We start from the raw sequence: 16,944 nt of genomic DNA on the forward strand, positions 1-16,944 counted from the left end.
TAGACCTATTTTAACAGCATTCTAACCCAAAGAGATACTGTCGTGGTAGAAATTTCAATCAACAAAATAGGCTTCAAGGGAAATATTTTGGATCGGGATGGTTTTTCTAAAGTTCTTGAAATCACATGTACATGATTACCTACTGGGCCAAAACAATGAGTTGCGTTTTGTTAAGGTATACTGTTTTCTCCATTTCTGAGGTATTAAAATGGACTGCTAGCAACTGGACTAACAGTTATTTTGCATTCCAATTTACTGTGGCCTTACAGCTAGGGCCTGGGTCCTTAATAATAAATTGCCTCTTTAAAGGGAATTTCAGTGACTTAGCACATCAGACGTGGATAATACATAAATCACATCTATTATACATTTCTGAGAAAGAAAATCCTACCAAAAGGACACTTTGCAGTTTTATTTCAGTTTTCATTTCTGCTTTTAATCATAAATTGGCCATGGTTGACTGGACAGCATTTTAAATGACCCAGAAAATGTTTCCAGTCTTTCTACAAAAAGGGCTCTCTTTTGGGTACTTTTTCCTATTGCAAATATGCTTAAAAAACAGATTTCTTGGCTTCTTCTGCAGTAAATATCCTTGTTCCATTAGACGAAGCTGTTCTTTTTCTCCTGCAAAACTAACCTACAAATATTTTGAAATATAGTAGTTAATCCTTGTAACATACTAGAATTGTTTAATTTTTTGAGCTGCACACTCAGCCTGACAAAAACTGTAACATACACATATCTATCTAAAAATGGCTGCTGTCTTTCTTTCTTTACTGTTACAAAAATTTCAGCTGGGGAGATTCTCCTACCTACCCTTAACCCTTGTCATATTCTGGTTCACGGTAAGGAAGGATTTTATTTTAATGAATATTTCAGAGAATGAGTCTCTCTAGTGTAAAAAAAATATGTCAGACTTTTGAAACAACATTTTCTTCCTGGTGTGCTGTACTTTGTGGAATGAAAGCCCATAAACCAAAGGCTCTGGAAAAAGATGCCAAGGTCACAAATATTTACCTGAAGGAAGTAACAGGATATAAGAGTCAAAAAAGTAAAATATAAAATAAAAGAAAAAACAGTGAAATGAAAGTTGCTGTGGATAGTTTTAGTGAGCTGAGTTCATTTAAAGGCAGAAGCAGAACTTTCCAGAGGTATGGCAAGAGCAAATGTTTTTTCTCCATCTCAAACCTAAAGGAGAATAAGTGTCTTACAATTGAGCTTCACTGAATATAGTTTGCACAATCATTTTTGCGACATAAGAGTGAGGTTAGAAAATAAGTACAAGTTAAAATTAGCAAAGAACTAGCTGAAGTCATATGCATATACAGACCCAATTTCTCATTCCAAGAAGCATTCAATTAAGTATTTGAAGGACTTTTTCAGTAAATATAATTTAGTCCCAAGGTAAGCCAAAGGCTATATTTTATTTTTCATTTTAAGCAGAACTAGATTATTTTGGTTTGGTTTAAACCTATGAAACTAGAAATAGTGCCACTTTCATGTAGGTTAACAGTCATATTTCTGTGCCTTTGGTTACAGATTCCCGAAAATGTCTAGCAGACCTATATATTCTATGATAACTGAATTATTCTTACAAATGTTAGTCTAAAAGCTTTTTCTGCTAACAAAACTGAGATATTGGTACCAAAATTCGTTCTTCATATTTCAAACAAAGATGGGAAAGAGTTGTAGTCAAAGCTATGTTAGCTCGCTTGTTTAACCAGTACTTTACACAGCTCTTGAACATTTGCTCTATGAACAACTGATGTTGGCTTTCAAGTCTCTCTCTCATTGGATTTTTGTTCCAGTTGGATACATAATAGTAAAGTTGCAATATTTAGGAAAAATACTGAGGCTTCAATGGGAATGGAATAGCCAAACAAACATTCAGAACTTTTATGCTTTGGGGCGTAAGAACAGAGAAAGGCTGTGTTAAGGCAAATGATACAGTATCAATTTCTGTGAAATTCCCATTTGATGAATAATGTGCAGTAGCACAGATAATCTATCAAGGAGCCCCAACAAGTTTACGTTTTCCAATAGTAAGGAGCAGGAGACCAATATAATGGACTCTAATTATGTTACACCTTCTGTGAGCATAAACTTTATTTCCATGAGAATGTAAGGTACGTCAATTAAATGTTTTGTTGCCTTCTATCGTAGCTGGTAATCTTAAAATCACTGGTAATATTTTCCCCACAAAAATATTTATCTTAAGTAAACCATTTAATAATGAATAAATTAAGGCAGGAGGTATACGACATTTTCCCCTAACTAAAGGGAAGCTAAAGAAGTTACTTCTACACTTTTCATTAGCTAGGGGCAATTACTATTGATGCAAACATGTCTGAATCCACAACTTTGTGGACTTAAGTAAAAGTTTCTCTTAAAACCCTGGTGACATTATCCAGAAGGCTAGAGGAGGCCTGTATGGATTGGGAATTGACAGGCCTTACGTCTTCTGTATTCTCTGGTGAATGAATACCCACCACCCACCAACTCCCACTTCCCTACTTGTAAAATGGGAACCTGCAAATGGTGAACAGCCATCTGGGCAAGGAGCTGTGCTTCCAAACTGATGAAGGAAGCAGCTGCCCTCTAGAGGAGGACTGAAAAAGGGATTAGCCAGATTTCTTTGCAGGGCAGGCCACACGTTGGGATGCTCAGAAAATCGATAGCTTCCAAATGTTCTTTGTGTTCCCTACAGTAATGGGTCTCTGAGGCAGAGCCAGACTTAGAGCCACATGTGAAAGGAGATTATTAAATACATACTTCTCCTCATTGTGCCTCAAGATTAGTTGAGAGAAATACATTAAAAATAATGGGAAAACTGGATCACCACAGTGAAATAACTCATGGTAGAAAGCAATCATTTGAACCTAATTAACAGTGCACTTACTGGAAAATCAACAGCTATCCAGCTAAAAGAGTTCAGAAATTTGGTCATAGAGGCAATAGTCACCTGAACTTGTATCTGAAACACCAAGGAATGGTCTTGTGATCAATCGAATTGTTTTTATTTTGGCCTTCATTTTCTTCTCTCTTACTTAATCTCTTAGGCTAGCAGCCACAACCTGTCTTCTCCCTTCCTCTCTATTCTGGGCCCCATTTCAAGGACACTTTCACAAGCATTTTCCATTCCTTTGATTTCTTCACCTTCTATCTCACAGCTTTGGCAATTCCTGCCCAGGCTTGATTCAGTTCAGTGGTCCACTTTGCCTGTTCTTGTTCCCAGGCTGCTGAAGACCCATCTGGGGAAAATTACATATTCATGTTCATTGGCTTCATGACAAATGCATGCTTTCCAATCTCAGCTCGGCCCTCAACTCTTATCCTTAATCCGTTTCTCATCCATAGTTGGCTTCTTCTACTTTTTCCCACAGCAGCTGTTCCAAACCTTCATTTTTCTTCTCAGGCCCACACTTCTGGCCTTCTCATTTTGAGCAGATAACCTACATTTCTGTTTATCTTTTAAAAATGCCATCAGGTGACAGTTCTCTCCTACTTCCCCATCCAATGTTCTTGTAGTCATTCATTCTTTTTCTTCTCCTCTCCTATATCATTGAACCTCGTTTTAATTCTTCTCACCTTTTCTCACAGCTTGCAAATGTGTTCCAGTATCAACTGTTTTACACAAACTCCAAATCCTTTATTCCTCTCCCAATGCTTCAAGCTATATCTGCTTCATTCATTTCATAACCAAACTTCTTGTAAACATAGTTAATATTTGGTGTCTCGAATTCTTCTTCTTGAATTTACTTCTCAACCCACATGTATTCAGATTTCTGCTAGGCTTGTCACAAAAGAGTTATAAAAATCAGTAGTACACTTGCATCTCTCCCCTAACATTTCCTGCTTTCCAGAGGCAATCACTTTCTTCTAGCTGTTAAATTAGTTAACATGAAACCACCTGCTTTCCAGCTTCTAAAATTATATGGTTGTCTCCTTTCTTTCTCGCTTTGCATCTGTGGGTTCATGACTTTTAAAAATCCATACTGCTGTATTAGAGGAATTTGAGGAAGGAACAAAAGTAGATACTAAGGTTCAATCAGTGATGTCTCAGCTTCCTTTCTCATTTCATTCTACCTGTTCTTCTTGTGTGATCACATTCACTCCCTTGGCTTCAACTGCATCCTTTATGAATATGACTCAATAATATATATCTCCCATTGTGAATTTTTTTCTGAACATCAGGCCATCTATCTATGGTACTAGAATTCTCCGGGTAGGTGTCCTATAGGCATGTCAATACAACCTATTCAAAACCAAACTCATCTTTTCCCCTCCAAATTTGTTCTCCCTCCTTCCTTTCTACTCCTAGCTAATGATATCACTCAGTCATTTAAGCTAGGATATGTAGAGTCATGCTCATTGACTTCCCAAACAAGGAACTGGTGTGTTTCATGAAAGGCAGAGATAAAGTCTCATTCATTTCTGGGTCCCATAGCCATTAGCCCAGGCTCTCACATAATAATAATGTGTTGAATTGATGGGAACTTGCTATTGGAGGCTAAATATAGTGCAAGGATAAAGTTACCATACAGACAAAGAAATACATAACAATGTGTTTAGCTCATGTGTGGTTAAATTGCTTATTTCACAAAATTCTTACTTGACATGAAACCCAAGTTATGCATGATTTATTTATGATTAAAAGCATCTTTCTTGTTTCGTTTTTAAAATACTTGAGTGTGCATAGAAATAAAAGGAACTGTATAACCTCTGCCTCACTCTACATATCTTTGTAAGCAAAATTCTGGTTTAGAGATTCAAAACTTCTTGTGTCTTAATGAAGACCTCTAAAAGTTCTTTGTTAAAAGCAGCAGAAATGTTTAATTTAGAGGCTCTAGTCAACTATTAGCTAGCTGCAAATGCTTCCAATATGGCTTTCTATTACTTCTTTCAGGAGGCATTCCACAGTTCTATTTTCATAAATACAAAATAAGAACAATAGTAATTGCCTCTGGGACATATAGGGGAGAAGTAGACAATATATAAGAATAAAATGCTCCTTTTCCTTTTTCTTCTCCTTGTCTCTAAGCAGAAAAAAAAATGTACACATGAATATCCTAGTGACATTTCTTTGGATGTCACAGTGGTTAAAAGTTTTTCTTTGGGAGGCTGAGGTGGGCGGATCACAAAGTCAGGAGGTCGAGACCATCCTGGCTAACACAGTGAAACTCCGTCTGTACTAAAAATACAAAAAATTAGCCGGGTGTGGTGGCAGGTGCCTGTAGTCCCAGCTACTCAGGAGGCTGAGGCAGGAGAATGGCGTGAACCTGGGGGGCGGAGCTTGCAGTGAGCCGAGATCGCACCACTGCACTCCAGCCTGGGCGACAGAGCGACACTCCGTCTCAAAAAAAAAAAAAAAAAAAAAGTTTTCCTTATTCTCTTTCATAATTTTATGAGGAGAATATGCACTTATGGATATTCACTCACGGATCAATCCTTCCAGATGAGCCTGTTAATTTTGATTATGCACATTCAATTTGCATCAAGATTTATTTTTTAGATAAAATCTTGAGCAATTACAGTTTCCAGCTGAGAGCATTGTAAACTGGGCCCCTGCTATTTTCCATATCCTATGCCACAGACTTCACATATATTTTCTTACTTAACCCTTGCTGTAGCCCCCAGATGTAGAAATTAAGAATATTTGGCATTTTGTTTTACAAACCAGAGAAATGGATGTTTGAGAAGTTAAGAAACTTACCTATAACTGAAAACAGAGCAAATAAGTAGTAGACTTATTTGTATCCCAGTCGCTTGACTTTAAGTCCAATATTCTTCCCATTATAGAATAAAAACTCATTACTCAACAGCTACTCTTTTGTACTTATGTGCAGATAAAATCTTATATCACTTTAATCAGTAATGTTTTACTTAGTGCCCACTATGGTGGAATTAGTTCTATTGAGTTGAGTGCAAATATATTTGGTAGCAGTGGCAAGAAATAGAAATATAGGTTTCTCCATCTGTCAATGTGATTGGTGACAACTAGGGCCAGTCTTATGCAGAGGTTGAATAAGTAGAGTAGTGAATGTGCTGAGAGTTATTGAGTACAGATTATTATAACTGGAAGAAATCTACATAAACTGTTCAGTTTTTCAGAGAGGAAAACCACATTTCATAGAAACCAAGTGACCATTTCAAAGCCACGGTGTCAATGAGCAAGACAGACAGCACTAGAACTTATATCTTTATTTTAGGTTCCCTTGTTTTAAGAGGAAAAAATTATTCACCTCACTTGCTGATATGCCTGAAAATTGGAGGTTCACACTTTTGGATTTAGTCACTATCCACTAATATACTGATATTCTTAGAAGAGGTAGCTAACTCATTCTGTTGTGAGTTCTCAGCCTCTCTTTGGAGAGCCAGTTGTAGGCTGAGTAAGGTGGTGAATGAAAGACAAGGCAATTTTGAGTTGAGTGGGGAAGAGAGAAATCCAAGGCCCTGACTGCTGGGGAGGATGGTAATAAGAAAAGATTCTGGGTCATTATGGGGCAGTTTGAAGCTATAAGGCACTTGGGGAGCTATAGAGAAGAGACAGATAGCACAAAATGAGAGAGGGAATAGAAAATAGCAATGCATGGCCAATGAATATATGCTCAGCCAACTCCACAGTACTGGCTTTAGGCAATAGTGTCTTTTTATAACTTTGCTTGTTGTTATCTTCTACTAATATGGCCAAATTGGGATTTAGAGAAATGCTTTTGTGCATGTGAGGGTTTGTATTTTTTTTCATAAGTTGGGTCATAAATCCTGGATGTTATTTGACCCTGTGGTACTTGAAACCATTATCAGAATGTTTCCCTTCTTATTCATCTAAGCACACATACGGCCCTCACAGCCAATCAGCCCTGAAACTAATTGTGTCCCCAAGGTCAAACCAGAAAGCCCTGTTGATTGCTTTACCTAAATCCAGGGATACTTTATGAAGTAATTTGTTAATTACTCTAATTTGTTCCAAGGTAAAGTGATTAATCTGTTTAGTACAATGTGTTTTTGGTTAGTATCTACAATTCTGATAGCTTGTGATTTAATTTTGTGTTAGGCCTGAAGGACTGTCTTTTTTTCTGGATTTTACCTATCAAGGAGTAACTATCAGGAGACATCTTGCTTCATTTTGATGGGAGTGAAACTCACTTTTTACATTTATTTATTCTCTCTTCTGGTCTCTTGTAATTTATAAAGCTCCTTGCCCTTGAATTCCCAGTGCATTAGCTAACTCTTTAGGATCCTCAGGTTACAGTCATTGCCTTTTGTGTAGATTTGACATGTCTTATTTTTCTCTCTTCTTAGTGGTGAGAGTAAGAATTCATTTGATCTGTGACAGCTCTAGTACATTGATGTACTAAAACTGTTTCTGTTCTTTATTTGGAGTCAGCTCCATGCATTTTAAACTTCTTTGTTTTCTGATTATGTGCAGAGCAGCAGGATCCTGCATTAGGCTATACTGAGCATGTCAGAGCAGCAGTAGAAGTGAGTAAAACAGGAACCCTGTCCTTAAATAAATTACAGTCCAGTGAGACACAAGATCATGGACATGAATGAGTTGATACACAGAAGAATGTAATAAGCATGATTAGAGAGGTTTAGAAGTAGTGCTGTGGGAGCACAGGATAGGGAGAAATTATATTTATTTGAGAAATCAGAGAAAGCTTCATGGAAGCAGTAAGAATGTAAATTGAACCTTAAAGGATGGTTGGAATCCAATAAGCAAAAAGGAATAATGTAGAGAGGGTGTGTCTTATAGAGGAAACAGCATTGAATATAGGTATGGAAGTGAGAAAGTGCAAGACACACTCAGGAAAGAGTGAATACATTAGTTGAATGGTAGCATGGATCTGAATGGCAAGGATAAACACTTTGGACATTTTATCGGATGCAATGGGGAGCCACTGAAGAATTTTGAGCACTAGAATGACGTATTTCAAGACGTTCTTTAGAAAGATTGCTCTGGCAACAGTGCAAGGGAAGAACTTGACAGGGTTAAACTTCGAGGCAGAGCAACCAGTTAAGAGACTGTTCCAATAGTCCAAAAATATAATGAGAACCTAAGTGAGTCAGTAAATATTAGGAGGTGAGAAGGAGGTGTTTGCAAGAGATATTTGGGAAGACTTAGTTACTGACTGGATATAGGGAATTCTAGAAATCTTGGGTAATCAGTAAAGTGGTTCTGTCAATATACAAGCTAAAAAATTCAGTAGGATTCAGAAGACATACATTTGGTCAACAATCACATGAAAACAATCTCTACATCACTGATCATTAGAGAAATGCAAATCAAAATCATAATGGGATACCATCATATACCGGTAAGAATGGCTATTACTAAAAGGTCAAAAAATAACAGATGTTGGTGAGGTTGTGGTGAAAAGGGAATGCTTATGCACTCTTGGTGGGAGTGTACATTAGTTCAGCAATTGTGGAAGAAAGTGTGGTGATTCCTCAAGGACCTAAAGACAGAAACACCAAAAAATAAAAAAATAAAAAATAAAAAATAAAACGCAGAAAGGAGGCAGGACTAACTTACAGCTTCCAATTGGATGAACAGAACAGTGTGTGGAGACTCACATCATGAGTTTTTGCTTCAAGAGCCACTGCAGAAAGATATCAGGAAAACAAAGAATTCACAGACCTTTTGAATAAAGCAGCTTGCTGCTGCAATCTCCGTGAGATAGCTGAAAAACTGTGAGTGCCCAAAGTATGAGAGGAGGAAAGTCCACCTCCAAACACATATCATCACTGGGGAACATTAAAATCCAGATCACAAGAGAAAAAATTAACCTAACCTAGAGCTGAAATGAATTTAGAGAGCCAAGCAAAATATAAAAGTAGAAGAAGCAGCAGGAAGAGCCCTGGAGGCACTCCTGGTACCCAGGGAAGCCATTTCTAATTTTATATCACAGGGGTCCTTGGGGAGGGCAGCCAGTAGTATTGGGGAAGGGCCACAGGGAGAAAGAGACTTCCAGTTGAATTTTGTAATAATTTCAACGGAGCACCAGTTTTCCTAGGCAGAATCTGGGGGAGTAGTGGTGTGGTGAACAGGAAGTACAGATATGAGCACAGAGATCAAATGGCACTAGAATGGGGCCTGAAAGCCCTGCTTGCTTTCTCAGCTAGGAAGCTCGTAGCCAGGGACAAGATCTCAGCCTTGTGCACTTTAGGTCTGGATTTAAAGTTATCTGTGTTGGCTGTTGAGGGAGCACAGCGGGAGTGAGACTATCCATGCTGGCTGCATCAGAACTTGGTGAGGCCTGTCACTGCCAGCTTTTCCCCACTTTCCTGGTGACCTGTGCAAAGCAGCAGAGGCAGCCATAATTGCCCTTGGAACATAACTCTATTGGCCTGAGAACCACACCTCACCCCCAGCAGTGGCCACAGCAAGACCCACCCAAGGAGAGTCTGAGCTCAGGCAGACCTAACCCTGCCCCTACCTGATAGTTTTTCTCTAGCTGCTCTGGTAGCCAAAGACAAAAGACATAAACTCGTGGGAACTCTGTGGCCTCACCCATAGCCTGAGAAACCCAAATACTTATTCAGGCAAACTTAGAGCAAGCTTGTATCCCCCCTATACTACCACAGTTTATGCTCTCTTCAAAGTGCCACCTCCTGGCCGGAGGCCAATCAACTCAAGCCATTACTGCAATGCCTAACAGAACAATCCTGCTCCAAGTCAGGAGAAAACAACAGATAATTCCACTGCTTGTAACATCCTGGCTAAACAGAGGTCCTGAGTCTGTCCACATGACAACTTCACTGCTGGAATAACCAGCATTCAAGAAAACCTTCACAATAAACAAGACTACAACCAAGGACTCTCACAGAGTCTGTTTCACTCCCCTGCTACCTCCACCAAAGGAGGTGCTGGTACCCACAGCTGAGAGACCTGAAGACAAATCACATCACAGGATTATATGCACACACTCTGCAGAACAAGCCTGTAGCCCAGTAGCTCCAATGGTTGGCTAGACTTGGAAGAGCAATAACAAACACTGCAGTCCAGCTCTCAGGAGGCCCCATCCCCAGGGGAAGGGGGAGAGCACCACATCATGAATCTTTTGTCCCCATGGTCCAAAAGAATCTGAACAGCAGCTCTTGAGTTCTAGATTTTTCCTGTGACCTTGTCTACCAAAAAGAGAATAGACCAGAAAAACAAGTTTCTATAACATCCCCAAAAGATCACACTAGCTAACCAGACATGGATCTAAACCAAGAGGAAATCTATGAGTTGTTAGAAAAAGAATTCAGAACATTGACTATTAAGCTACTCAAGGAGGCAAAATAGATAGGTGAAAACCAACTTAAATTTAAAAAAATACAGGATATAGATGAAAAATCTCCAAAGAATTCAATATCATAAATAAAAATGACAACTTCTAGAAATGAAAGATGCACCTAGGGAAATGCAAAATACACTGAAAAGTTTCAACAATATAATCAAACAAGGAGAACTTCAGAGCTCGAAGACAAAGCTTTCTAATTAATCCAATCTGACAAAGACAAATAAAAAAATGATTAAAAAGCTGCCAAGAAGTTTGGGATTATGTTAAATAATCAAACCTAAGAATAATTGGTGTTCCTGAGGCAGAAGAGAAATCTAAAAGTTTGGAAAACTTATTTGAGGAAAAAATCAAGAAAAACTTCCCTAGCCTTGCTAGAGATCTAGGCATCCAAATAAAAGAAGCTCAAAGAACACCCCAGAAATTCATTGTAAAAGATCATCACCTAGACATATAGTCATTAGGTTATCTAAAATGAAAATGAAGGAAAGAATCCTAAGAGCTGTGTTGCAAAAGCATCAGGTAACCTACGTAGGAAAACTTATCAGATCAACAGAAGATGTCTCAGCAGAAACCGTACAAGCTAAAAGGGATTGCGGTTTTATTTTTTGCCTCTTTAAACAGAATAATTATTAGCCAAGAATTTTGTATCCAGTGAAAGTAAACATAATAAATCATAAACAAAGGAAAAGTAGTCTTTTTCAGACAAACAAATGCTGAGAGAATTTGTCACTACAAAGCCAGCACTCCAGAAACCATGGAAAGGAGTTATAAATCTTCAAACAAACCCTTGAAACACACCAAAATAGAACCTCCTTAAAGCATAACTCTCATGGGGCCTGTAAAGCCATAACATAATGAAAACAAAACAAGATATTCAGGCAACAACTAGCATGATGAATAGAATAGTACCTCACATCTCAATACTAACATTGAATACAAATGGCCTAAATGCTCCACTTAAAAGATACACAATGGCAGAATAGATAAGAATTCACTAAGTATCTGCTGTCTTCAAGAGAGTCATTTATCACATAAGGACTCAGACAAACTTAAGGTAAAGAGGTGTAAAAAGATACTCCATGCAAGTGGAATAGCTATTCTTATATCAGACAAAACAGACTTTAAAGCAGCAACAGTTAAGTAAGACAAAGAAGGACATTATATAATGATAAAAGGACTAGTCTCAGAGGAAAATATCACAATCCTAAATATATATGTACCTAACAATGACGCTCCCAAATTTTTATAAAACATTTACTACTAGACCTCAGAAATGAGAAAAATGGCAAGATAATTACAGTGGAGGACTTTAATACTCCACTAACAGCATTAGACAAGTCATCAAGACAGAAAGTAAACAAACAAACAATAGACTTAAACTATACCCTAGAACAAATGGACTTAACAGATATTTACAGAACATCCTATCCAATAACTGCAAAATATACATTCTATTCATCAGCATATGAAACATTCTCCAAGACAGACCATATAGTAAGCCACAAAACAAGTCTCAATAAATTTAAGAAAATCAAAATTATATCATGTACTCTCTCAGACCACAGTGGAAATCAACTCCAAAAGGAACTCTCAAAACCATGCAAATAAATAGAAATGAAATAATCTGTTCCTGAATGATCTTTGGGTCAACATGAAATCAAGATGGAAATGAAAAAATTATTTGAACTGAATGACAGTAGTGACACCACCTATCAAAACCTCTAGGATAAAAGAAAAGTGGTGGTAAGAGGAAAGACTATAGCATTAAATGCCGACATCAAAAAGTCTGAAAGAGCAAAAATAGACAATCTAAGGTCACACCTCAAGGAACTAGAGAAAAAAGAACAAACAAGCCCGAACACAGCAGAAGAAAAGAAAGAACAAAATAGAGCAGAACTAAATGAAATTGAAACAAAAAAATACAAAAAATAAATACAACAAAAACTTAGTTATTTGAAAAGATAAACAAAATTGATAGACCATTAGTGAGAGTAATGAAGAAAATAACAGAAAAGATCCAAGTAAGCTCAATTAGAAATGAAACAGGAGGTATTAGAACCACATAAATATAAAAAAAATCATTCAAGGCTACTATCAATACCTTTACACACACAAACTAGAAAACCTAGAGGATATTAATACATTCCTGGAAATATACAACCCTTCTAAATTAAACCAGGAAGAAATAGAAACTCTTAACAGACCAGTAACAAGCAGTGAGATTGAAATGGTAACTAAAAAATTGCCAATGAAAAAACTCCAGGACCAGATGAATTCTATTAGACATTCAAAGAATTGGTACCCAACCTGTTAGAACTATTCCATAAAATAGAGAAAGAGGGAATCCTCTCTAAATAATTCTATGAAACCAGTATCACCCTAATACCAAAATCAGGAAAGGACATAACAAAAAGAGAAAACTAGAGACAAATATCCCTAATGAACATAGATGCAAAAATCCTCAACAAAACACTAGCTAACCAAATCAACAGCATGTCAAAAAAGATAATCCACCATGATCAAGTGGGTTTATACCAGGGATGAAGGAATCATTTGAAAACACAAGTCAATAAATGTGATACACCACATAAACATAATTAAGAACAGAAACAGTATGGCCATCGTAATAGATGCAGAAAAAGCATTAGACAAAACCAGCATCTCTTTATGATTAAAACCCTCATCAAGCTACCAATGACTTTCTTCATGGAATTGGAAAAAGCTACTTTAAAGTTCATATGGAACCAAAAAAGAGCCCACATTGCCAAGACAATCCTAAGCCAAAAGAACAAAGCTGGAGGCATCACGCTACCTGACTTCAAACTGTACTACAAGGCTACAGTAACCAAAACAGCATGGTACTGGTACCAAAACAGAGATATAGATCAATGGAACAGAACAGAGCCCTCAGAAATAATGCTGCATATCTACAACTATCTGATCTTTGACAAACCTGACAAAAACAAGCAATGGGGAAAGGATTCCCTATTTAATAAATGGTGCTGGGAAAACTGGCTAGCCATATGTAGAAAGCTGAAAATGGATCCCTTCCTTACACCTTATAAAAAAATTAATTCAAGATGGATTAAAGACTTAAATGTTAGACCTAAAACCAGAAAAACCCTAGAAGAATACCTAGGCACTACCATTCAGGACATAGGAATGGGCAAGGACTTCATGTCTAAAACACCAAAAGCAATGGCAACAAAAGCCAACATTGACAAATGGGATCTAATGAAACTAAAGAGCTTCTGCACAGCAAAAGAAACTACCATCAGAGTGAACAGGCAACCTACAAAATGGGAGAAAATTTTCGCAACCTACTCATCTGACAAAGAAAGGGCTAATATCCAGAATCTACAATGAACTCAAACAAATTTACAAGAACAAAACAAACAACCACATCAAAAAGTGGGCGAAAGATATGAAGAGACACTTCTCAAAAGAAGACATTTATGCAGCCAAAAAACACATGAAAAAATGCTCACCATCACTGGCCATCAGAGAAATGCAAATCAAAACCACAATAAGATACCATCTCACACCAGTTAGAATGGCAATCATTAAAAAGTCAGGAAACAACAGGTGCTGGAGAGGATGTGGAGAAACAGGAACACTTTTACACTGTTGGTGGGACTGTAAACTAGTTCAACCCTTGTGGAAGTCAGTGTGGGGATTCCTCAGGGATCTAGAACTAGAAATACCATTTGACCCAGCCATCCCATTACTGGGTATATACCCAAAGGACTATAAATCATGCTGCCATAAAGACATATGCACACATATGTTTATTGCGGCACTATTCACAATAGCAAAGACTTAGAACCAACCCAAATGTCCAACAATGATAGACTGGATTAAGAAAATGTGGCACATATACACAATGGAATACTATGCAGCCATAAAAAATGATGAGTTCATGTCCTTTGTAGGGACATGGATGAAATTGGAAATCATCATTCTCAGTAAACTATCACAAGAAAAAAAAACCAAACACTGCATATTCTCACTCATAGGTGGGAATTGAACAATGAGAACACATGGACACAGGAAGGGAAACATCACACTCTGCGGACTGTTGTGGGGTGGGAGGAGGGGGGAGGGATAGCTTTAGGAGATATACCCAATGCTAAATGACCAGTTAATGGGTGCAGCACACCAGCATGGCACATGTATAAATATGTAACTAACCTGCACATTGTGCACACGTACCCTAAAACTTAAAGTATAATAATAATAATAAATTAAAAAAAGAAAAAAAATTCATATGCAACCAAAAAAGATCCCGCATCCCAAAGCAAGACTAAGCAAATGAACAAATCTGGAAGCATCATGTTACCGGACTTTATACTACATTATAAAGCTAGTGTCACCAAAACAGCATGGTACTGATATAAAAAATAGGCACATAGATCAATGGAACAGAATAGAGGGCCCAGAAATAGAGCCAAATTTTAATAGCCAACTGATCTTTGACAAAGCAAACAAAAACATAAAGTGGGTAAAAAACACTCTATTCAACAAATGGTGCTGGGATAATTAGCAAGCCACATGTAGAATAAAACTAGATCCTCATCTCTTGTCTTATGTAAAAATTAACTTAGGATGGATCAAAGACTTAAATCTAAGACTCAAAATAATAAAAATTCTACATGATAACATCAGAAAAACTCTTCTAGACATTGGCTTAGGCAAAGACTTCATGACCAAGAACCCAAAAGCAAATGCAACAAAAGCAAAGATAAATAGGTAGGACTTAATTGAACTAAAAAGCTTCTGCACAGCAAAATGCTACATACCACACGCAGATTGAGAGAAAATTTTTGCGTACTATGCCTCTGACAAAGGACTAATATCCAGAATCTATAAGGAACTCAAATCAGCAAGAAAAAACAACCCATCAAAAAGTGGGCTAAGGACATGAATAGACAATTCTCAAAAGAAGATATACAAATGGCCAGCAAACATAAAAAAATGCTCAACATCAATAATGATCAGGGAAATGTAAATGGAAACCACAATGTGATACCACTTTACTCCTGCAAGAATTGCCATTTTTTAAAAATAAAACAAAAATACATGTTGGCATGGATGTGGCAAAAAAGGAACACTTTTGCACTGCTAGTGGGAATGTAAACTAGTACAACCACTATGGAAAACTGTATGGAGATTCCTTAAATAATGACAAGTAGATCTACCATTTGATCCAGCAATCCCACTACCAGGTATCTACCTAGAGAAAAAAGAAGTTATTATATGAAAAATAACTTGCACATGCATGTTTGTAGAAGCACAATTCGTGATTGCAAACATATGGAACCAGTTCAAATGCCCATCAATCAACAAGTGGATAAAGAATATGTGTATATATATATATATATTTATATATGAATACTACTCAGCCATAAACAAGAATAAATCAATGGCATTTGCAGCAACCTGGATGGAGTTGGAGACCATTATTCTTAGTGAAGTAACTCAGGAATGGAAAACCAAACATGGTATGTTCTCACTTATAATAGTGAGCTAAGCTATGAGGACACAAAGGCATAAGAATGCTACAGTGGACTTTGGGGACTAAGGGGGAATGGTGGGAGGCGGGTGAGGGATAAAAGACTACACACTGGAAACAGTGTACACTACTCAGGTGATGGGTGCACCAAACTCTCAGAAAGCACCACTGAAGAACTTACTCATGTAACCAAATACCACATGCTCCCCCAAAACTACTGAAATTTTAAAAAAGATAAGTAAAAAGACAAAAATACAATTTGAATCAGCAATCCCATTACTGGGTATATAACCAAAGGAATATAAATCATTATATTTTAAAGTTACATGCACGTGTATATTTATTGCAACACTATTAATAACAGGAAAGACATGGAATCAACCTAAATGTCCATTGATGATAGACTGGATAAAGAAAATGTGGTATATATACACCATGGAATACTATGCAGCCATAAAAAAGAAGGAGATTCATTAAATATTTTTATCGATCCTCTCCCTTCTCTAGGCTTAATACCTGGGAGATAAAATAATCTGTACAAAAAAACCCCAAGACATAAATTTACTTATGTAAAAAAAAAAAACCTGCACTTGTACCCCTGAACTTAAAATATGTTTTTTTTTTTTTTTTTAACAAAGTCATGTTCTTTGCAGGAACCAGTGTGGACTTGGAGGCCTTAGCAAACTATCACAGGAACAGAAAACCAAATACCGCATGTTCTCACTTATAACTGGGAGCTAAATCATGAGAGCACAAGGACACCCAGAGAACAACATACACTGGGGCCTTCTGGAGCGGGGAGAGCATCAGGAAAAATAACTAATGTACTAGGCTAAACACCTGGATGATGAAATAATCTGTACAACGAATCCCTAGGATGCAAGTTTACCTATGTAACAAACCTGCACATGGACCCCTGACTTAAAAGTTAAAAAAAATGAGTGATTAAAAACATTAAAAAATGAAATGTACTTAGTTGAAATGTCTCCTCTCTTTTACTTATTGGGTGCAGCAATATGATGTTATCTTCTGAAGATCACTTAACAGCAGTGCTAAGATAGGAACTGAGCTCCTCTGAGGACAAATCTGGTGTTCTTTCCATGCTATCATATTGTGTCAATGTTTAAAAAGTAATAGGATTGG

At 37.2% G+C, this 16,944-nt stretch overlaps 1 long non-coding RNA gene across 1 annotated transcript in view; it reads left to right on the top strand.

The window, feature by feature from the left end:
- Window positions 1-16,590, top strand: part of LOC107985670 (uncharacterized) — a 68,935-nt gene extending 52,345 nt beyond the window's left edge. Inside the window, exon 3 of the long non-coding RNA XR_001755900.2 lies at window positions 16,455-16,590. This is a non-coding gene — a long non-coding RNA (uncharacterized LOC107985670). The remainder of the gene's footprint in view (window positions 1-16,454) is intronic.
- The last annotated feature ends 354 nt before the right edge of the window (window positions 16,591-16,944 follow it).

This window comes from Homo sapiens, chromosome X, assembly GCF_000001405.40.
Source record: "Homo sapiens chromosome X, GRCh38.p14 Primary Assembly".
NCBI classification, from domain to species: domain Eukaryota; kingdom Metazoa; phylum Chordata; class Mammalia; order Primates; family Hominidae; genus Homo; species Homo sapiens.